This window comes from Homo sapiens, chromosome 20, assembly GCF_000001405.40.
Source record: "Homo sapiens chromosome 20, GRCh38.p14 Primary Assembly".
NCBI classification, from domain to species: Eukaryota; Metazoa; Chordata; class Mammalia; order Primates; family Hominidae; genus Homo; species Homo sapiens.
This window is the reverse complement of record NC_000020.11, coordinates 3,732,172-3,753,264: the sequence shown is the minus strand read 5'-3', so window position 1 is coordinate 3,753,264 and position 21,093 is coordinate 3,732,172. Positions and strand designations below refer to the sequence as shown.

The following is a 21,093-nucleotide window of genomic DNA, read 5'->3' as shown; positions in this document are numbered from 1 at the left end:
GTTGTTTGGGATGCTTGATGGGAGACAGCAGCACCCCCTTCTGGTCAGTTCCCTATGCACAGCTGAAAGCTTTCTCCCTTCTCTCTCTAGCACCGGGAACCCTTGCATTCCTCCCACTATTAGGGTCTCCACGCCATATCAGCAGGCTGTGGCTTCCCCTTGAGCATAAATGTTTTATTGTCACCTCAGGGCTCTCAGGCAGGTGGGGCTGTTGCATGCCAGTTAGAGGGAAGTGCCTGACATTTCACACTTTAGGAAACTGAGGCCCATGAGCGGTAAGAGAATGTCCTAAAGGCATACCGAGTCAATAGCAGAGCTGGGACCACCCCTCATTGCTCCCTCTGGCCTCCCCATCCACCCTCCAGCTGCTCTTCCATGGCTGGGGTGGGGTGCAAGTGGGGTCCTTCATAAGCTGACCTTGGGGCCTTCCCAGACGGGTGTTTTGTCTCGAAAGAAATGCTACCCTCATAATTGCCTCCACCACAATAATGTTCCCACCTCCACATTAGAGATCTACTGCCCTTTCCACAATTCACAGTCATATTTGGGTGGTCAGCACCACACCAGGACTGTGCCACCACACCTGTCCCTCTGGAGTCCACTTCCAGTCACTTTCCTACGGCACAGGGTTTTTCTGCCTGGCTCCCGGTTGGGGCTGAGTCGGTCGATGAGTGAACTTCAGCCCTGCAGGTCCAGACCCTGCACAACCTCCTTCCTCCTGCGGCTCCTCCTGCCATCCCACCCCCACCCCTACTCGGCCAAGTTCAGACCAGGACTCTTCTGTTGCGTTCTTCCTTCGGGGTCACATGCCCCTTGCCGGGCTGCGCGCTCTGTCTTGCAAACCTCTTCTCTTACCCGTTCAGTCCTTGGCGGGTCCCTTCAGCCTGGCAGTCAGCGGACCAGTGCCCAATCCCAAAGCCAGTCTCTGGGTGTGTCCCCACCCACTCTCCCATGACCTTATCTCCCCCGGGGCTGGAGGGCGTGGAAAGGCGCAGACTGCAGAACTATCGTTTCCCCCGCCCCAACCCGCTCCGCAGGCCCCTGAACCGAAAGAGGGCGGGGCCGGGCAGACGGCGCTGGCACCGCGCCGGCGCGCCCTCAGTTGGAAAGAAAGTCGATGGACGCGCGCACGGAGCGATTGGTGCTGACGTCGACGGCGGTGACCTTAATTTCGGTGTCGCCAAACTGCATGGCGGCGCGGATCTCGCGGCGGCCGGGAGGCGCGCCGGCGGTGTCCTGGCCGCAGTCGGCGGGCTCAAGCTCGAGGCTGAGCGCGCCGCATTTGCGCACGCCGGGGTCGGTGATGAAGCGCGCATCCTCTGCCGCGCAGCAGTACAGGTTGATGAGTACGCGCCGCTGGCCGGGACGCGCCGGGCAGTAGCTGCGCCGCACCTCCTCGCCCAGGGCCACCGACTGCTCGGCGGCCACGAAGCGCTCGAAGACGTCGGTGCACCAGCGGCGGCCGTCGCGAACCAGCAGCTTTTCGGGCGGGTGGCGCCCAGGCACAAAGCGGTTGAGCACGCCCACGCCATAGGTGAGCGGCGAGCGGCGGACCCGCACCACGCCCGGCGCCTGGCCGAACAGCACCGCGCCTTTGAGGATGGTGAGGCCCACGTCGTGCGGGACCACGACACGCAGACCGCGGGCGCCCAGCGCCGCCTGCACCGCGTGCTGCAGCACCGCTGACTCGGCGAAGCCGCCCACTAGGAACAGCAGCTTCACACCCTGCACCTCCGGCCGTGCCAGCAGGGCCTCTGCGGGACAGGACGGGGGGACGCGGGTGAAGGGGGCAGAGGAGAAGGGGCGGGGGAGAGAGAGCCACTGAGGCCACCACTAGGCGGCCACCGGCGCCTCCCCTCCCTAGCCTGTACCTACCTGGCGACTAGAAAGTAGCCATTTGAGCACTTTCTTTGAGAGCTCACGGGAGTCCTCGAGGGCTTCGCCTCCCCAACACTCACGCTCCCCACTTCTCTCCCACCACGACGTGGAGGACGAGAGATAAGGATATGCATTTTACACGTATTAAACACCTAGACATTGTGTGCAAGACATTGTGCTCACTCTAGGTACTTCAGCTCATTTTATCCCTGTGATAACGTTTTGAGAACCCAATACTATCACCCCATTTTATAAATGGGGAAACTGAGGCACCAGAAGTTTTTTGCCTTGGCAAGACTACATATCAACCCTCTAGCTCTTAATCACCACTGCACTTCATCCCGCAGGTGTTCTAGATGATTCTAGGTCTCATCACAGTGTATGGATGTGTGGAGGTATCTAGGCACTGATGGGGGGGAATTATTCTGCATCTGTTTGTTCATGTAGGGGCGGGTGGGGGACCAAGCTCAGGTGCTCACCTATGTGCTGGATGATCCCGCTGACGGTGGGCTGAAAGAGCTCGTTCATGGCTTCACAAGACATTCGGAGCATCCCCTGTGAGGACCACTTCACGAAGTTCACGCTGTTGGTGGTGAAAGGGGCAAATATCCATCGGTCAGGGCCCAGCTGCTTGCCCCAGTTTGGGGTCCGTGGTCCTTATTCTCTACCTCTGCCTCCAGGCAGAAGTGCCTGGGCACCGACTGCACGTGGTGTCTGGAGGACTGGACCTGCGGGATGTTAGTCCCTTATCTCCACCCTACTCACTCAGAGGATTTAGTTGCCAGCCTGCTCCAGGTTCCAGGTACGAGGTCCTGGGAGGGGCCTCCCCTTGCTTTGGTGCAGGGAAACCGAGGAGCATGGGCCCGCAGGGCCCGGGGTGGGGGTGTAGAGAAGGCTGGGAGGAGATAGGCATTGCCGCCTCCCCGCTATGATTCTCTGTCTTGCCCCAGTTCGGGCTGCGGATTCCGTGGGTGGAGCCTGCTGGGCTGGGGCACTCACTCGCCGCTCCCCGCCGCCCCACCCCGACGCCCTGCTGGCTTAGTGTATATGTGGGATGAATCAGGCAGACCCCCACCGTTCCTTGGGGCCCGGGACCCTCCAGTGCACGGTCATTCCCGGGTCGGCAAACCCTGCCTGAGCCCGCGGGCTCAGGACCCACCTGCTCCTGCGCAGAGCGGTCTCCACGTTGTGGCCCCGCTGCTTGCGGTAGAAGTCAATGAAGGAGAAGGGCAGCGAGATGTTGAGCGCCCCTGCACGGTGTGGGCCAGCAGTGCGCTTGCGAGCCTCGAAGGCGATGGTCAGATCTACCCAGGCTGCCGGCCGTTGCCTTTTGAAGGTGGCGATGAAGTCCTCGCCGAAGATGCGGCACAGCAGCTGCTCGAAGGCCAGGTCCACGCCCACCGCGCCATAAGGGCCCCCTGGGGTGGAGCAGGGGGCGAAGAGGGCGTCAGCGCTCGCCGGGCCGCCAGGGGGCAGTGGCGGGGCCGGAGCCCGGGTCGCGCTGGGTACCGGGGCGCCGCCTGGCTACTCACCAGATGCCTTGTAGAGCTCCTTGAGGGTGCCATGGGGCTGCTCCAGCTGGTGCACCGTCAGGTCCACGGTGCCTCCGCCGCAGTCGGCCACCACGTAGCGGTCTCCTGCGGCGGCGAGCGCGGGCACACACTCGTGGGCGGCCTCGCACCCTCAGCCCTGCGCCCCCTCCAGCCTCGCCCAGCCTCCAGCCCTGCCCCGGGTCCCAAGGCCTGTCTGCAGGGTCGGGGGAGGGACGTGAGGGGCTTCAGGTGCTTGAACCTCAGACCACCACATATGGGCGCAGGGTGTGGGGCAGAAATGGTTCCAGAGGCTCTGCAACTCCACCCGAGCGTCCGCGGAGAATCCCCTGGAGGAGTGGGAGTTAGGGGCGCCGCTGTGAGTGGGGTGGGGGTGCGGGTGACTGTGAGGGGACGGCCAGGTTGGGTACAGCGAATGGAGGAGGAAGAGACGGGCTTTGCAAACATGCCCTTCCCCCCATCAGTATATGGTGCCCGGTAGGGGCCAAGGATAACACTCCGTCCCCCTTTCCCCCTACCTGCTTGCATCTCTGCCCACAGCTCTCCTACGCCTGACTCCACCAGGAACGTGCGGCTGTGGCGGGACCTTCGCAGCTGCTCCCGAGCTGGGGGTCAGGAGACAGCAGGGAGTGAGATTAGAAGGAGGTGCTCCAGCTATGGCGTTCAACTCCCATCCTCCTGCCCAGGACCTCCATGGGCACTGGGAGCAGCCAGTGCTCCTGAAACTCCAACCTGCTCCTGACTGGGAGAGGGCAATCCTGAACCCCAAACTCCCACCCTGTATCCAACAGCTGTGGGGAAATATTTATGGACACAGGGCCTTCCTTTAACGCAGGAGGTCTCAGGTCATGGCAAAATCAGGGTTAGAGGGGTTTGGAGGAGCGGAGGCAGGTAGGTCTTTGGAGTCTCAGAGGGGACTCAGGACTTAGGGCTTCTCCCTGCCCTGGGAGATGGCATTTGGGAGGATGACCATAGCTGTCCTTGGCCTGGGTGCCTGGTCCTGGCAGCAGGAGCTTGGGGCTGATGTGTGTCGGGGAAGATGAGGGGAGTGAAGGGGACAGCTGATGCAGTGGGCTGACTTCCTCCTTTGTCAGTACCCCAGCAGTTTCCTCCTGGGGTAGTCTGTGTCTCCCCCAACCCTCAGACTCAGGGCTGGGCGGAGTCCTGCCCTCCTCAGACTTTGCTCCCCTAGGGCAAGGTGAAATCTCCACCCTGAGATTGGGCTGCCCTAGGTAGGGCATGTCCCACCCTGAGACGAGGTTGCCCTTGGGCAGGGCTGTGCCTCCCTTCCTCAGACAGGCTCCACCAGCCATGTTTCTGCCTGCTCAAATTGGGCTCCTCCAGGGTGGGTACCCTCTCCCCTTCATACTAGACATGGCTGAGCTTCTGGCTTCAGTGACCCTCTGACCCTCCAGGGGTGGGTGGTGTCCCCGGGGGCAGCTCACCCTGACGGAAGCTGGAGTCGATGGAGCGGCGCTCACCCAGGCGCCCACCACCTGGGGCCCGGCCACTCAGGTCCAGGAGCTGGTGCAGGCGCAGCTTGCGGCAGTATACCGAGGCGGCCTCGGGCTCCAGGGCGATGAGTAGCTGCTCTGCATTCTCTCGGGACACTAGTCCAGCCTGGGGATGGGTGGTGGGCAGGGTCAGGCAGCACTGTGGGCTGTCACACCTAAGATGGCACTGTGAGGTGGGGAACCGCGGCCTGTGGGGCTCCCACCTCCTCCTCCATCACACCCCACCCATGTTAGGCCTCTCAGGCCCCTCTGTGCTGCACAAATTTGGAGCTGCCTCATAGCCACGCTGTGACCAGGCTGGGGAGGGAATGGCCCTGGCCAAATATGCCAAGAAGTTGCCCAGCAGGAAAAGACTCTAGACAGAATGCAGACCTAGAACCCCTGGGATCTGCCCCTTCAAATTTCCCAAGATAGCGGGGCTGCAGCAAGGTTCCCCTTCACAGGTACAAGCGGCCAGCTGAGCGCTGGCTGGGGGTATTGGCAGAGACTCTAGCACAATGTGGGGGTGTGTGATGGCTCAGAGGAGGTGGTGGGGAGCCCTTTTAGCTCATTGAACCCTCTTTCTCCACTAGGCTGGTGTCAGACGGTAGCCATAGGCCACCCCACTTCCAGGAGAACTTTGTTCCCAGGGAATCTGATACAGCAGGGAGGAAGCTGAAATTCCAGGCACCAAGACAGGCCAGTTGGGTGGAGAAAAACACTTGAGATCTGGAGTTATTTCCTTCAGGGTAGGGGATCCCTGTGGGAAGTATATTATGGTTTTGTAGGGTTCCCCAGATTCTGACCAGATAGGGGAGAGGGATAAGGGTGTGAATGGAGACTTTTACCCAGGGCCAGACTTTCCTGAGCAGCCAGGGAACAGCGTGAGAAGGAGGGTGGGAAAATAGGCAAGGGGACGCTGGGGGAGCAGGTGTTTGTTCTGGCTGGGGACAGCCTTGCTTCCGTCCTGATCTTTGCACAGGGATGTCCACTGTGCTCAGGGTTAGCTCCTTCCAGTGAAAAGTGTAGACATTTACAGACCTGGCCCTGGGTCATGCCTGGCCCATAGGTATGGGAGGATTGGGGGTCCCTCCAGGGTGTCCACAGGCAGGCTTGAGATCCCTTTTGGACAGCTTAGGGTCTGTATCCAAGGCTCTAGGGTTACGACCAAGCAATGAGTCTTGAGGCTATGCCCTCTCTGTCTCCACGGGAGCCCCCCCCAACTCCTTGCTCTAGACCTTTGAGCATCTCAGTGGTAGGAAGACCTGTATGCATTGGCTAGAATCGCCTCCCTTTATTTCATAGTCCTATTTCCCCTGCTCAAGAACCAACAAAGGTGGGCGGTGGTGGGGGTGTCCCTCAAAATACTGATGCCAAGTGAAGTGAATGTTCTGGGTGCCCTGCCTGCCACTGTGAGTGTTGGCTGCTATTGGCTCACAGCTGCTACCTCCTCTGGATAACTGCCCTCAGCTGAATGGGAATGGCCTCACTTGGAGAGGTTTCCCTCCCATTTCCCCAGAACCAGTGACAGACCGATACGGATGTGCAAGAAGCCGGCCCCAACTCTGTGCTACAGTTCTCCCTCTGCAGCTCCCCATGGGATCTAGCTGAGGCTAAACCTGAGGCTAGACTCCAGCAAAGACCACATCCTTCATAGCTCCTTCTCCTGTCCCGCCTCCCTCCCTCGCCTTTCTCCTGAGAAACCTTCTTCAATAGACCTCACATATAAGACTCTCCATCTTGGCCGGGCGCGGTGGCTCACGCCTGTAATCCCAGCACTTTGGGAGGCCGAGGCGGGCGGATCACAAGGTCAGGAGATTGAAACCATCCTGGCTAACACGATGAAACCCCGTCTCTACTAAAAATACAAAAAATTAGCCGGGCGTGGTGGCGGGCACCTGTAGTCCCAGCTACTCGGGAGGCTGAGGCAGGAGAATGGCGTGAACCTGGGAGGCAGAGCTTGCAGTGAGCCGAGATCACGCCACTGCGCTCCAGCCTGGGCGACAGAGCGAGACTGTCTCAAAAAAAAAAAAAAAAAAAAAGACTCTCCATCTTGGGCTCTGCTTTTAGGACACCTGACTTAAGGCACTGTCTACACTGGCCTGGGCTGTGTCTTTTGTCCCTCTGTCCCCTGTTCCTGCAGGCCCACTCCCTCTTCTGGTGGGAGCAACTCTACAAACTCCCATCAGGAGCAGGCTGAAGTTCTTTCCACAATGACTCTGTGGTCTCAAGGGTGGTGGGGTGCATGCAAGCATGGGGACAGGCCTGGCCCTTCCTGAGCAGTGTTCTCGGGCCCGCCTGCACGTCCTCACCAGGTAGGCAGCCTCCCGCATGAACTGCTTGGCTGGCTGTTTCCAGATGGCAGGCACCGTCAACACCCAGCGCACAGTGTCCTTCTCTGGCAGCGATGGGCTCTGCTCCCTCAGCTCCTGGTACAGGAGGGGGCAGTGAGAGGAAAGCTGGCTTGGAGGGAGGGTGGTCTTCAGCCCTCTGCGGAACTGGAGGTACTAATCAAATCACAGGAAGGACTTCCCAGCAGAGCTGGAAGAATCGGCCCCCCTCCCATCAGTATGGCTTGGTGCAGGCTCTACCAGACAAAAAGGGAGGAGGGTACTGGAGAAGATGACCTCTGAGCTCCGGCGGTGGCTACCCATCCAATGTCGGGGACGGGATGGGGGAGCGGTTTCGGATGAGGGGAAAATAGGGGGTCCCTGCCACAGTCGGCAGAGGTGGGGCCGCAGCGCACCTGAAGGGCGTGCTCCCTGAAGAAGCGCAGGGCATGGGCGAACACCTCCAGGGCGGGCATCGTCTTTCCATTTACTGCCTCTAGCTGGGTCTTCAAGGTGAGATCCTGGCAGGGACACAGGGCGGCTCTGCAGGAGGCCTCAGCTTGGCACTCATTTCCTGACGACCTCGCTCTTAAAATCACCCCGTTTCCTGGAGCTTCCCCTCCTCTTTACCACCGTCCCACTCTTGCCCCATGTGACATTAGCTCTGCCCCGACCCCTCTCCTTAGCCCCACCCCTCCTGCAACCCCAGCTTCACTATTAGCCCCACCCACATTAGCCCCGCCTCCACCTCATTTCTGAGCTCCGCCCACACCGGAGTCCGACGTCTCCCTTTAGCCCCGCCCCCTCTCAGCCACGACTCCATCGGGCCGGTCCTCACACGTTTTGGTTTTGTCCCACCCACCCCCATTAGCCCTGCCCTTTTCCATGCTGGCCCCGCCTCCCTGTCTGGAGCCCTGTGACTCACCGTGGCGCTGTGGATCTTCATCTTGAACTTCTCGAAGTAGAGCCAGTCCCGCGCCTCTTCGGGGTCCAGGTCATGGTAGTAATCGCGGGCGGTGTAGCCAAAGCTGTGGAAGGCGCCCTCCGGAGTCAGCAGCAGGCAGGTCGGGGTCTTCTGGTGGGCCACGCCCGGGTCTCCGCCCTCCCATTTCCTGCGGAGGCACAGGGCAGTCAGTGCAACCCTCCCTTCTTGGGTGGGAATCCAGGCAGAGGGAACAGCATGTGCAAAAACTTACAGATGTGAAAGAGCAGGGAGAACTAGCTATGGGTCGGCTCCATAGGCAGCAGGAGAAAACACAAGAATGCTAAGGTGAGATCATGAAGAGCACAGAAGGCCATTCAGAATTCTGTCTTCGTGGATTTAAAGTAGCCAAGAGGTATGACCACATTTGCCTTTAGAAAGAAAGGTCACTGGCTCCCATGGAGCAACAGAATGCAGGGAAGGGAGCATGGAGAAAGGAAACCAAGGAGGAGGATATTGCAGCCATCCAGGTGAGAGAAGGTCGGGGCTGAACTTGGGCACGATCAGTGGCCATGGAGAGAAGTAGATGGGTATTCTAGAGATGTTAGGGGCTTGGTGTCTGGTGGGAAGAGAGAGCTTGGGAGGAGGCTGGAATGTCCCCCAGTTATTTCCTGTGACTGTCACCTCCACAGGACAGAGACAGTGTTCCTGGATGTGTCCTTAGCCCCAGCATGGCCTCAGCCATGTGTGTTGATCAGCAAGACATCTGGGATGCCCTGCAGCTCCTAGAGGGCTGTAAGTGCTCAGAGCCTTTGTGGTTTCCTGTGATGTGGAAGGAAGGACAGTCCAGTCTCATGAAGCTCAAGTCCCATGTATTTTGGGAGCAGTTACCTGTCTGTCTATGTCTCCATTCACCCTTCCATCCAGTCTCCAGGCCTTGGGAAGCCCCTCTTACCTCCCATCCCAGTCTGGGTTGAGAGCTTTGAGGTCTCCTGTAGCTTCACCTACTGCCTGCCGACCCTCTAGGACATATTCAGAGGACTGGGGTCTTGAGGTCCCAAGGTCCTTGAGGTCCCACATAAAACCCAACATTTGAATGGATTTTTGAAACATGTCTTTCAAAACAACTGTGTGACTTGTCAACTCAGCCCTTAGAACCTTCATTTTCTTGTTTTTATTTTTATTTCTTGTTTTATTATTTTTTCTTTTCCTTTTTACTAAAAAAGGAAAAGAAAAAAGATTTGAGATGTTGGACCTAGGAATCACCTCTAGGAATCTACCCCATGGAGATTGCGGCACAAGTTTTCAAAGAAGGATATTACTGCTGCACTTTTTGTAATAGTGAAAAATGAGAGGAGGAAAAAACCCCCCTAAAACTGTCAATAGGGGAATGGATAAATTATGACACATCTGTACTATGGAATACTAGGCCGTTCAAAGAAAGTGGTAGCTTCGTATGTGCTGACATGAAATATCTACAAAATAGTGTTGAAGCTTTAAAACAAAGCAAGTTGTATATCTCACTTTTACTTAAAAAAACACATATATGTTTGTATATGTGTGTGTTTGTCTACAAGCTTAGAAAAATATTTGTGGGCTGGGCATGGTGGCTCACGCCTGCAATTCCAGCATTTTTGGGATGCTAAAGTGGGATAATCACTTGAGGCCAGGAATTCAAGACCAGCCCTGGCAACACAGTGAGACCCTGTCTCTCCAAAAAAAAATTTTTTTTTTTTTTTAAATTAGCCAGGTGTGGTGGTGCTGTCTGTAGTCCTAGCTACTCAGGAGGCTGAAGTGGGAGGATTGCTTGAGCCCAGGAGTTTGAGGCTGCAGTGAGCTATGATCACACCACTGCACTCCAGCTTGTGTGACAGAGCGAGACCCTGTCTCAAAGAAAAAAAAAAAAAGGCCAGGTTGGTGGCTCACATCTGTAATCCTAGCACTCTGGGAGGCCGAGGCTGGCGGATCACCCGAAGTCAGGAATTTGAGACCAGCCTGGCTAACACGGTGAAACCCCGTCTCTACTAAAAATACAAAAAAAAAAAAAAAAATTAGCTGGGTGTGGTGGCGGTCGCCTGTAGTCCCAGCTACTCAAGAGGCTGAGGCAGGAGAATGGCATGAACCCAGGAGGCAGAGCTTGCAGTGAGCTGAGATTGCGTCACTGCACTCCAGCCTGGACAACAGAGTGAGACTCCGTCTCAAAAAAAAACAAAAAACCCCACAAAAGTTAGCCAGGCATAGTGGCGCACACCTGTATTCCCAGCTACTTGGGAGGCTGAGGCAGGAGAATCGCTTGAACCCGAGAGGTGGAGGTTGCAATGAGCTAAGATCGTGCCTTTGCACTCCAGCCTAGGCGACAGAGTGAGACTCCGCCTCAAAAAAAAAAAAAAGGAAAATAAAAAACATTTGCATATTTTATTGTTATGTTTGTTATATCTCAAAAAAATTCAAAATTAAAAACAAAGTCTGACTTTTCCTACAGAGGGTTGGGAGCTGCTCCAGTTGAGGCCAAGGACCCAGGCCTGGGGCCCATCCTCCAACTTTTACCCCAGTGGGGAGCCCCAGACTGGGGGTGGCAGGGCCTCCAAGGAGACCCCATGTCTCGGTGACAGTACTTTTGGGACCAAGGTATGAGGAACTCCCCACCTTCCCCACCTCACTCTCTCAGCCCAGCCGACCTCACCTCATCATGTGGATGGCCTCAGGGTCACTGGCAAAGCTGAAAGCATAGCCACTAGACGTGGTGCCGAAGTCAATGGCCACCACCACAGAGAAGGAGGCCTGCTGGGGGGCTCGGACCTCGGGTTTCTGCAAGTGCAAGACTTAGAATTAGCAAGCAGCCAGCAGGGACACCCCCATCCCCCACAGCCCCAATGCTTCCTCTGCATGGGGAAGACACTCCCCTCCACTGACTGTGGTCCAGACCAGCCCTGGACCTGGCCCACCCCACCTGCCCACCTGCTCGGGCTCCCTTGCCCTCCCAGGCTCCAGGCTGAGCCTTGGACGTGTCTCTCAGGTAGCCCCAGGCAGGGTTTGGCTCAAGCTCCTGCTTTCCTGCTTCCAGCCTCTGCCCACCCTCCCTCTGGACTGCCTTAGCCCCACCCCCACCTCACACCATCTTCATAGGCAGCCATTAGTCTGGGCCCAGCTGGGAGCAATTTTGCTCCTCCAGGCAGTTTTACAGCACATGGACCAGTGTATATATTTTATCCTCTTGCTCTTTGTGGCCATAGTGACACAAACCAGACTGTCTGATTCTGTGGCAGAGAGGAGAGGGCACGTGCATGTCCCCAGAGAAGTGTGTGCCTTCTCCTATGCCAGGGCTGGACTCCCCTAAGAATAAGGGGGTCCCTAAGCTGGATCACCAGGGCAAGGTCATCCAGGTGGGGTGACCCAGGGAGCTTGGGGGTGGGGAGGTGGTGTCCTGGATACTTCAAGCTAGTAGTTTCCTTTTTATTTGAGACAGGGTCTCACTCTGTCACCTAGGCTGAAATGCAGTGGTGCGATCTTGGCTAACTGCAACCTCCGCTTCCCAGGTTCAAGCAATTCTCCACCCTCAGCCTCCCGAGTAGCTGGGATTACAGGTGTGCACCACCACGCCCAGCTAATTGTTGTATTTTTTGTAGAGATGGGGTTTCGCTGTGTTGCTCAGGCTGTTCTTGAACTCCTGAGCTCAAAGCAATCTGCCCACCTCGGCCTCCCAAAGTGCTGGGATTACAGGTATGAGCCACCATGCCCAGCCCAAGCTAATGGTTTCCAGACTATTTTTTTTTTTTTTTGGCAACACATCTCCTCTCCTTCAGATATGACTTGGATTAAGGTGGGCTGTGGTCCACAAGAGGCCCAGTGCTCTGGGGACCTAGAAAAGCCACATGCTCAGGGGAACACTTGCCTCAGCCAGGCCAGCTTCAATGGCCGTGGGTGCCTCCTGTGTGGGGGGGTTGGGAGTTAGTTACATGGGGCTCGCCTTCTCAGTAGAATTGTTACCCTTTATAGTCCAGGGTCACCCAAGGCCAATCCTTCTGGGGGGCACATGACTGGAGTGTACGGGGACAAGAGGCATGGTGCTACCCCCATCCCCTCCTCCTTCCTAGCTGAGGCCCTGTCATGACTTTGCCACGCACGACCCTGTCCACACCAGCCAGGTCACCCACCACCTGGTCCCTGCTCTGGGCTTACTGGAGACTGCGAGGGTGTGAGGGGGGCAATGCCGCAGCTTTCCTGGGTCCTCGGGGAGCCGGGTGGGCTAGGCACTGGGGACCGCTCCGGGCTGGAGCCTGCAGAGAAGAGACGGCAGTTCATCCTGGCACAAGCAGGGTAGGTATGGCAGCGGGGCCCCAAGCCAGGCACCCAAAGGTTCTCCATCAGTCCTTGCTGGGCTAAGGCAAAGGGCTCTCTGCTGGGGAGGAGGACTGCGGGGTGTAGGAAAGACACACATGACGCAGGGGCAGGAGCTGAGGGTCTGCTGTCAGAGGCAACGTTTCCCTAGCAGATGACCCATGCTTTCCCCAGGAGCTCACTGTCTCCCCACTAGGGCCCCTCAGACACACAGTGTGGGAGGGGAGAGAGACAGAAAAGCATTGTGTGGCAGGGAGACTCAGTCCAGAGATGGAAGGGCAGGGGAGATAGGGCAGGTGAGCTCCTGGGAGGGAGTAGAGGAGAGAGAAGCCCTCCTCCTTCAAAAGGTGGAGCTACAGAGCTAACTGGCTAGGAGGTGGGGTTGCTCCCCTCCACCCTAAAGTTGGGCCACGTGGTTCTAATCAGGACTTGAGGGAACTCTGCAGCTCCCATGCCCACAAGGGCCACAGACAGGCCCAGCTGGCTGCTTGAGGAGGATCGAGGAGGGGGAGCACCTCCTCCCACACCCATAGAGATAGCCCAGTCCTGAACTGGGGGTGTCCACAACATTAGGAAGTCTGATTCCCACCCCCCACACACACACATACACACACCCTGAGCCAGCATTTCAGGGCAGGACGCCCCATCAAGACCCTCTTGCACGCCTGGGACTGAGCTGGACCTTTGGTGGGAGGGAGTGGAGTAGCCCTGGAGGACAGCCCCAGGCCTCGCCCCGAGGATCAGGCGGCTTATGGGGCAGGAGGGCCTGCCTGGCTGGTAGCTGCCACCACCACACTGGGCATTGCTAAGGGGCATGTGAGGAGTACTGGGGCAGCCTTGATATCCATGGACAGGCCAGGGAGGCTGGCTAGGGAGGGAGAGTGAGATCTGGTAGGAAGCTCCATGGACAAATCAGGCAGGTCTGGCTCGCCTTAGGCTGAGCCAGGCAGGCCCTGTGCTCCCTCAGCCACAGTCCTGTCACGTGCTGCCAGGCAGGTCTCCACTCTCCCTGGCCTTGGGGGTAACCTGGGAACACAGGCGAAGGGCCAGGCATGAGGGGGACTCTGGGAAGCGCCTGGACAGGGCCAGAGTCTGAGGTGCTGGAGGGGCAGGGAAAAAGTGGCCACATTTCAAGGGCTCCCTCTCCTCAGGCAGCCAGGGCAGGCTCCAGCCCTGCCACCAGCTGCAGCCCGAGAGGCCAAGTTGCTGTGGCTCGAGCTTGGGAAGGGAGGCAGGAAGGAAGGGCCCAGCCCACCAGGTCTTTGTGAATGGACTTCCTGAGGAGTGTCCCTCTTGCCTCCGGCCTCCCACCCCTGCGGAGAACCCAAGCCTGCTCCCAGACCAGGCTATGGCCAGACGCACATGCACACGCAGAACTCTCTGCATGCGTGCCCACCTGCAGACTATACTCCCGTACACAGATCCTGTGCACAGAGACCTGCCCGCAGAGACACACACTCACTGATGCACTCACACGGGGTCCTGTGCACATGGCCTGAACAAAACACATGGACATTCAAACACTCCTGTGCACACAGACCCTCCATGCACACGCAGAACTCTCTGTATGCATGCCCACCTGCAGACTATACTCCCGTACACAGATCCCGTGCACAGAGACCTGCCCGCAGAGACACACACTCACTGACACACTCACACAGGGTCCTGTGGACAGAGCCTGAACAAAACACACGCACATGCATACACTCCTGTGTGCACAGACCCTTCTGGCACACACAAACACACGCACTCAGCCCACACTCATATACACATGAGGGTCCTGTGAATAGACCAGTCCTGTGTGCACACATACTCACATACACAGACCGGTGCACACAGACCCTTTCTGCACACACAGGGGGGTCCAGTAAACACAGACCTGCCCTGCACACATGCACACACACACACACACTCACTCACAGAAGAGCTGTTGGGAAGCTCTGTGGGAGAGGTACATTGCACAACCTGTAGGTGGGTCTCAGTGCCTGCTCGGGTGAGTGGGTGATGGGTCAGGGCAGAATGGTGGGGGTTCTTACCGATGTACAGCCCCTGCAGGCCCATCTCCGGGACAGCCAACATCCTTGCAGGCCCTGTAGCTGTCAACAGGAACAGACAAGCAGAGTGGGATTTATTTGTCCCTTTGTTCCCTCATCTGAATGCTTATTTATTTTATTTGTTTACTTTTGGCTGGAGTCCTTTGAAGCAAATCCCAGCCATCATGTTGTTTCACCCGTGAACTCTTTAATACATCTCTCCAACAGATAAAGACGTTTTAAACAATGTCATCGCAACACCATTCTCATGTCTAATGAAATTAACAGTAATTCCTTAAATCTCATCTAAAGTCCCACAGTTCCCAGCTTGTGTCAAAAAATGGCTTTACTTTCTTGGAATCAGGATCCTCCTAAATGTTTTCTGGTGCCTGCTCTGTGCCAGGTGCTGGGAGATAGTGACCCAGAGAGACACTGTCCCTGCCCTAGAAACCAACGGTCTGATGGAGGAGATAATCAGGCAAGTGATTTTGAAATGACAAGCGTTGCTGAGTGCTAGGAAGGTCAAAGTTGGATAATGCGGGGTGGGAAGAGGACATGGTAAGTCTGGACAGAGGGCTGGGCTGGGCTTACCCTGCAGGCAGGGCCTGTGCACCCTATTTCAGATTTGATTTTATATGAAGGGCAACAGCAAATCTTGAAAGGTTTGAGGTGGCAGGGTGGGGTGGGGGCATGACTCAATTTGTCTTTTCTTTTTTCTGAGACAGGGTCTCACTCTGTTGCCCAGGCTGGAATGCAGTGGCACGATCTTGGCTCACTGCAACCTCTGCCTCCCAGGTTCAAGCCATTCTCCTACCTCAGCCTCCTCAGTAGCTGGGATTACAGGTGAGTGCCTCCATGCCCAGCTAATTTTTGTATTTTTAGTAGAGACGGGGTTTCGCCGTGTTGGCCAGGCTGTTCTCGAACTCCTGACCTCAGGTGATCCGCCCACCTCGGCCTCTCAAAGTGCTGGGATTACAGGCATGAGCCACCGTGCCTGGCCTTCGTTGTTTGTTTGTTTTGAGATAGGGTGTCACTCTGTCACGAGGAGAACCTACATTTAAAGGCTGAACAGAGGAATATATACCGGCCCAGGAGACTGAGATGCCTCATGGTCTCATGAAGATTGTACCAAGAGATGGGTAAAGCTAGATCCCTGTAAAAGGTCCCCAGATGAGACTGGAAACACTGTTTTAGTGGCCCAAGGGAGGTAAGCTTAGGTGAGGAGTGAGCAAGAGGTGACATGAGCTAGAACTTCTTTTCTTAAGATGGAGTTTCACTCTGTTGCCCAGGCTGGAGTGTAGTGACGCAATCATATTGAGCTAGAATTTCTGAAAAGCTTGGCTGAAATCAGGAATACATGTGAGGGCAGTAGTTGGAGGGCGCTAAAGCTGAAGGGAGGTGAGGAAGAATATTTATTTTCTAAGATGGGAGGGGCTCGATCCTGTCTATGAAGTTCTGGGGCCAGGCTATAGGCAGGATATTTCAAACCATCAACAGCTTTGTTACTCAAAGTGTGGGCTGAGGATCAGCAGCATTGGTATCACCTGGAAGCTTGTTAGAAATGCAGAACCTCAGGCCCCAGCCCAGACCTGCTGAATCAGAACATGTATTTCATATTTATTTATTTATTTATTTATTTATTTATTTATTTATTTATTTATTTTTGAGGCAGAGTCTCACTCTGTCCCCCAGGCTGGAGTGCAGTGGCGTGATCTCAGTTCTCAGCTCACTGCAATCTCCATCTCCTGGGTTCAAGTGATTATCCTGCCTCAGCCTCCCAAGTAGCTGGGGCCACAGGCATGCGCCACCTAATTTGCCTAAAATGCCACCTAAAAATGCCTGGCTAATTTTTGTATTTTTAGTAGAGTCGGGGTTTCACCATATTGGCCAGGCTGGTCTCGAACTCCTGGCCTCAGGTGATCCGCCCGTCTCAGCCTCCCAAAGTGCTGGGATTACAGGCGTAAGCCACCGCGTCTGGCCTATTTTAACAAGATTCCCAGGTGATTCAGGTGCACATTGAAGTTTGAGAAGTGTTGCTCAACAGTGTCTCTCAGCCAGTCTGCAGACCACTGACACTATGTTCTCATTGGTGGGCCTGGCTGCTCCTCTAAACAAAGGAGGAGGCTACGCAGGGCCAATGCATTCCTTCTCTGTCACCAGCGGCCCAATCTGAAAGTTTTGCTATAGAACACAGGCAGACACAGAGCTGGCTCTGGCATGCCCATAGACACATGCACACACCCTTGCTCACACAGTTCACACAAACCAGCCCCATTGTGGACAGACACCTGGACTCCCACACACTCTTGTATGTCCAGGATTCTCCTGCATGGCCAGCACCATGGAGATTTCCAGACACTCTTGCTGTCCTCTGTACCATTGGAGTTGGATGCTCAGGAATCAGAATCAGAAGAAGGATGGGTGCTGGTTGTGGGCATGCATATAGCAGCTGGCTGTTGAGGAGAAAAGGGAAAGCACAGAGAGGGGGAGGGGAGGGTTCTTAGGAGCCAGGGGCAGGAGCCCAGAGCCCAGCTCAGGATGATGGAGTGGGATGCTGAGCTGGGTCCCACCAGCTCATGCGAGCTGATTCTTTCTATCTCTTCCCAATTCTGCATTCAATGACATCACATTGGTAGCTTCAAATCAGTCATGGCTGGGAGTATTTACAAGACAGAAATTGGCAAACACCATAAATCAGGATTTTATCCTTCTTCCAGAGCTGATTGGAAACCATTAACCAGCATACTACTGGATCAAGGTCTCGAGGGAGGAGCTGGCAGCCTTATTTGTATGTTGTTCTGATTCTTCAGCAAACACTTATCGAGATTCTTCATGCCAGGCTCTGTGCTAAGCACTGGGGAACCACTTTGTTGAATGAATGAATGGATTTTCTGGACCGAGGCTATTGTATCTGGAGGAGAAACAACCTAGAACCACCAGAAAAAAAAGACTCTGGGCCGGGCGCCGTGGCTCACTCCTGTAATCCCAGCACTTTCAGAGGCTGAGGCAGGTGGATCACCTGAGGTCAGGAATTCGAGACCAGCCTGGCCAACATGGTGAAACCTTGTCTCTACTAAAAATACAAAAATTAGCCAAGCGTAGTGGCAGACGCCTGTAATTCCAGCTACTCAGGAGGCTGAGGCAGGAGAATCGTTTGAACCTGGGAAGCAGAGGTTGCAGTGAGCCAAGATCGCGCCATTGCACTCCAGCCTGGGCGAGAAGAGTGAGACCCCATCTCAAGAAAAAAAAAAAAAAAAGACTGAGTCCTCGCTCTACACTGGATTCCACATCCAAACCATGGGCCTATACTCTTCCCAGCTATCGGAAGCTTGTCCAGTTATCTACCGTCTCTCATTGTGCGATATGCTGAGTGCCCCTATGCTGGGGTTTCAGGGATGGCAAGAGCCTATTATGGCACCTAGCGTGAGTGCATCATGCCACATCTCTGTGCCTCAGTGCCCTTTCCTGTAGAATGGGTGACACAGAGGGCTTATGTTAACAAGTCCAGATATGCAAGGTATTGATAAAAGCAGGGAGTTGGGCAGGTTTGAGCAGTGTTCTTTCCCTTCATGATGCAGATTCTGAATTTTCTTGTTAGATATTTTGGTCTTACTGAGAATCGCATTCTAGTCATCATGAGTTCTTTAAGGAAGGAGGTAGGAACTAAATCAATCTGTGTTAAGGGCTGGGTGTGGTGGCTCATGCCTGTAATTCTAGCACTTTGGGAGGTCAAAGTGGGTGGATTGCTTGAGCTCAGGAGTTCGAGACCAGCCTGGGCAACAGCAAAACCCCATCTCTACGAAAAATACAAATATTAGCCCAGCGTGGTAGTGCATGCCTAGAGTCCCAGCCACTTTGGACGCTGAGGTGGGAGAATTGCTTGAGCCCGGAAGGTTGAGGCTGCAGTAAGTCATGATCACACCACTGCACTCCAGCCTGGGTGACAGAGTGAGACCCTGTCTCCAAAAAAAAAAAAAAAAAAATTGTGTTAAAGAAGGAGGATCCCACGGATTCCCCGAGAGGTGGAGGTAAGCCAAGAGGTGGCTGACTGCCAAGCGAGCACACACACCCAGGGACACTTAAGGAGAGTGCTGACCACAGAACACGGGACAAGCCCAGCTCCCGAAAGCTAGGTCTGGGCAGAGTCCACAGCTGAAAATGAGGGGAGGCTGAGCCCCGCTTCAGGGGCCTACTAATTTCAGACTGGTGGTGCCTATGGGTTTGAGAGTAATTGAGTGGGACAGTTTGATTTACACAGAAAGGAACTCCATTTCCTGGCTACAAGCACATGCCAAACTCTGGCCCCAGCCTGATCCCTAACCCTGCCCATGGACTGACCCCTAACTCTTGGCTTCATATTGACCTCTAGTCATCAGCTTCACCCTGACCCCTGGCCCTGACTTCTACCCAATAGGCAGGGCCGATTAGTCACTGGGGACCAGGATAGGGTGTGGCCCAGCAGGAACTCACAACCAGAGACTCCCATCCCAGAGTATCCCCTGGTCTTACAATAGCCTAGGACGAACCCTGCCCCCACTCCCGCTCCTTTTTTTGAGACAGGGTCTTGCTCTGTTGCCTAGGCTGGAGTGCAGTGGCACGATCACGGCTCACTGCAGCCTCGACCACCTGGCCTCAAGCGATCCTCCCACTTCATCCTCCCAAAGTGCTGGGATTACAGGCGTGAGCCACCTTGCAGGGGCCCAACCCTTTGCCTGACAGAATCCTCGGAGGATCTCTTCCTGTGTGGGGTGTTTCAGCTGGGCGCTCATGTCCCCAGGAGCACTATGGGAATGCAGTGTTCTGGGTTTCAGGGCTCCACACGATGCCTGTGTAGACAAAGAGCCCACCCAGGTCATTCCAGCTCCCCTCCTCACTAGGACCCTGCCTCTTCCGCCTGCTGCTCTCTGCTCAGCACCCAGCCAGCCCTGTAATGGAACAGGACTCCGTCAGCGGGCTAAGTGAGGCCACAGGCGTTTCTTCCAAGCCACAGACTGGGCCAACCAGGGCCCAAAGCACAGATCAGAAACGGCACCCAAAGGGCTGCCCCACTCTGTTCTGGAGAGGAGCCCTTAAGAAGATGGGACCATGTGTGGCTGAGTGAGGTGGCTGCCCCATCCTGCGCTGGGGCAGGGAGTGACAGAAATGGCCTCCCATGGCCCCTCCCTGTCCTCATCTTTGCTTTCCATACATCCTGCCGCACCCCCTTGGGTCCTCATCATGGGAGCAGCCAGTTCACAAACAACAGAGCCCCTCCCATGCTCTGCCCACAGCCCCCCATTACCCCTCTGGCCTGGGATTCCTGCGCTGCGTCTGCTCTCCGGAGGGTCCCTAGTTTCGTGATCACTCCCTTCCAGTCTCTCTCATCAACACACGCTAACCTCACAGATAGGCTCCACTGCCCTAGCGGGAACCTGGACCCCACCCCACCTGGACCTCAAGCTGGCCCGGAAGACCAGGTCCCAGCCTCAGACCCTGGCACCTGGGCCACTCAGTACTCTGTTGCGCTTCGGGACCACAGGGCCTGGGACCCCTGAGGCACCCCCCAACACACACACATACACTCAACTCCCAGGTTTCCACCTCAGACCTAGGCACCGGGTCCCTCAGTTTGGCTCCCTGGAGCAGGCCCCAGCCCACACCAGTCCTGCCAGCCCCTAAGACACAGGAGTTTCTCCAGCCTAAGCCTCTGAGCAGCTGTGCGAGGGACAGGGGAGGTGGTCCCCCGAAGCCCAGGTGGGAGACCAAGGTCGCTGCCCCAAGTGCCTTCCCGAGCCCGCAGCCACGCTGCAGAGAGGGGCTTGCAGATCTGTCCCCACCAGACAAAGTCTGGAGGTTTTTGGTGGGGTCTCAGCCGACAGCCCGGGACGGCAAACCTCCTCGCCTTTCTCCACTCGGGGCGCCCGGCAGCCCCCGCCCCAGAACTCACCTCCGCCCTCCCGACAGCTCCAGCCCCGTCCAGCCGCCGCGATCCCGGGCCCGCAGCTCGTTGGCCGTGCCCGCTGCGGCGGCCGCAGCCCTCGACGTGCGCCCGGCCCTGAGGCCTCCCGCCTCCTCGCGCCGCCCACCCCGCCCGCCGCCCCCTCCCCCAGGCCGGATGGCCGCGCCGCCTGCGCCGCCGGGTCGGCCCGCGCTCCCGGCCCAGATGTGCGAGGCCGGGGCGGGGCCTGCCTGCGCGGGCCTCCGCCGAGGGGCCCAGCCTGGTCCCGCGTCCAGGGCCCCTCCCTGAGCCCCTCCTGCGCCTCCCCCGCTCCCCTAGCAGCCCAGGGGGTGGGAGAAGGGAGAGGGGGCGGCGGAGGGAGGGGAAGAGGAGTTCCAGACCCTGGTCGGCCTCCTGCGGTCCAGCTGCTGAGGGGCTCCCCCGCCCCGCCCCCACAGGCCCACCTTGGGGCTCAGCCTCGGCCCCTTCAGCGAGGGCCCAACAGCGGAGGGGGAAGGGCCCGCCCTAGACCCCTCCACTTCCCTGCCCCAGACCCCTCCAGTCCCTTGACCCGGAACCCTCTCTCCTCCCACCCCTACTGCCCCTACAGCTTCCCTAGCCCGGTCCTCAGT

The 21,093-nt window shown here is 56.8% G+C and overlaps 1 protein-coding gene across 10 annotated transcripts, besides 7 other annotated features; it reads right to left on the bottom strand.

Moving 5' to 3' along the window:
- Positions 1 to 153: 153 nt before the first annotated feature.
- On the bottom strand, positions 154 to 20,580 carry HSPA12B (heat shock protein family A (Hsp70) member 12B). Of its 10 annotated transcripts, XM_047439869.1 has the most exons (14): positions 20,471 to 20,580; positions 16,922 to 16,997; positions 14,548 to 14,607; positions 12,353 to 12,450; positions 10,857 to 10,981; positions 8,177 to 8,363; positions 7,668 to 7,772; positions 7,234 to 7,350; positions 4,874 to 5,048; positions 3,947 to 4,033; positions 3,411 to 3,515; positions 3,038 to 3,296; positions 2,358 to 2,461; positions 154 to 1,754 (listed from the first exon to the last, which is right to left on the bottom strand). In XM_047439869.1, the coding sequence occupies exons 3-14, from the start codon at positions 14,588 to 14,590 to the stop codon at positions 1,099 to 1,101; spliced, it is 2,061 nt and encodes a 686-aa protein (XP_047295825.1). In that variant the 5' UTR covers positions 14,591 to 14,607; positions 16,922 to 16,997; positions 20,471 to 20,580; the 3' UTR covers positions 154 to 1,098. The 10 variants fall into 10 exon arrangements, with proteins under 10 accessions (XP_047295825.1, XP_047295826.1, XP_016883124.1 ...); XM_047439870.1 differs by lacking the exon at positions 12,353 to 12,450; XM_017027635.2 differs by lacking the exon at positions 16,922 to 16,997 and having other exon boundaries at positions 154 to 2,030.
- Positions 3,266 to 3,495: a silencer, noted in NCBI's record as "silent region_12625". NCBI's record gives its function as "represses an Ori minimal core promoter by ATAC-STARR-seq in GM12878 lymphoblastoid cells {active_cell/tissue: GM12878}" and the evidence as "EXISTENCE:reporter gene assay evidence [ECO:0000049][PMID:35858748]".
- Positions 3,266 to 3,919: a biological region, named in NCBI's record as "H3K27ac-H3K4me1 hESC enhancer GRCh37_chr20:3729993-3730543".
- Positions 3,369 to 3,919: an enhancer, noted in NCBI's record as "H3K27ac-H3K4me1 hESC enhancer chr20:3729993-3730543 (GRCh37/hg19 assembly coordinates)". NCBI's record gives its function as "activates a minimal SCP1, AML or CMV promoter by ChIP-STARR-seq in naive H9 embryonic stem cells {active_cell/tissue: H9 hESC(naive)}" and the evidence as "EXISTENCE:reporter gene assay evidence [ECO:0000049][PMID:30033119]".
- Positions 3,920 to 4,472: an enhancer, noted in NCBI's record as "H3K27ac-H3K4me1 hESC enhancer chr20:3729440-3729992 (GRCh37/hg19 assembly coordinates)". NCBI's record gives its function as "activates a minimal SCP1, AML or CMV promoter by ChIP-STARR-seq in primed H9 embryonic stem cells {active_cell/tissue: H9 hESC(primed)}" and the evidence as "EXISTENCE:reporter gene assay evidence [ECO:0000049][PMID:30033119]".
- Positions 7,920 to 8,830: an enhancer, noted in NCBI's record as "H3K4me1 hESC enhancer chr20:3725082-3725992 (GRCh37/hg19 assembly coordinates)". NCBI's record gives its function as "activates a minimal SCP1, AML or CMV promoter by ChIP-STARR-seq in naive H9 embryonic stem cells {active_cell/tissue: H9 hESC(naive)}" and the evidence as "EXISTENCE:reporter gene assay evidence [ECO:0000049][PMID:30033119]".
- Positions 10,487 to 11,014: an enhancer, noted in NCBI's record as "H3K4me1 hESC enhancer chr20:3722898-3723425 (GRCh37/hg19 assembly coordinates)". NCBI's record gives its function as "activates a minimal SCP1, AML or CMV promoter by ChIP-STARR-seq in naive H9 embryonic stem cells {active_cell/tissue: H9 hESC(naive)}" and the evidence as "EXISTENCE:reporter gene assay evidence [ECO:0000049][PMID:30033119]".
- Positions 19,939 to 20,518: an enhancer, noted in NCBI's record as "H3K4me1 hESC enhancer chr20:3713394-3713973 (GRCh37/hg19 assembly coordinates)". NCBI's record gives its function as "activates a minimal SCP1, AML or CMV promoter by ChIP-STARR-seq in naive H9 embryonic stem cells {active_cell/tissue: H9 hESC(naive)}" and the evidence as "EXISTENCE:reporter gene assay evidence [ECO:0000049][PMID:30033119]".

Bases quoted from the DNA above. Each gene is read 5' to 3' on its own strand.
- HSPA12B (XM_047439869.1), bottom strand. From the start codon at position 14,590: ATGTTGGCTGTCCCGGAGATGGGCCTGCAGGGGCTGTACATCG. The intron at 5,049-7,233 runs GTGAGGACGTGC...ACCCATCCCCAG, and splicing joins TGCGGGAGGCTGCCTACCTG to GCTGGACTAGTGTCCCGAGA. The intron at 4,034-4,873 runs GTGAGCTGCCCC...CCTGACCCCCAG, and splicing joins CGACTCCAGCTTCCGTCAGG to CTCGGGAGCAGCTGCGAAGG.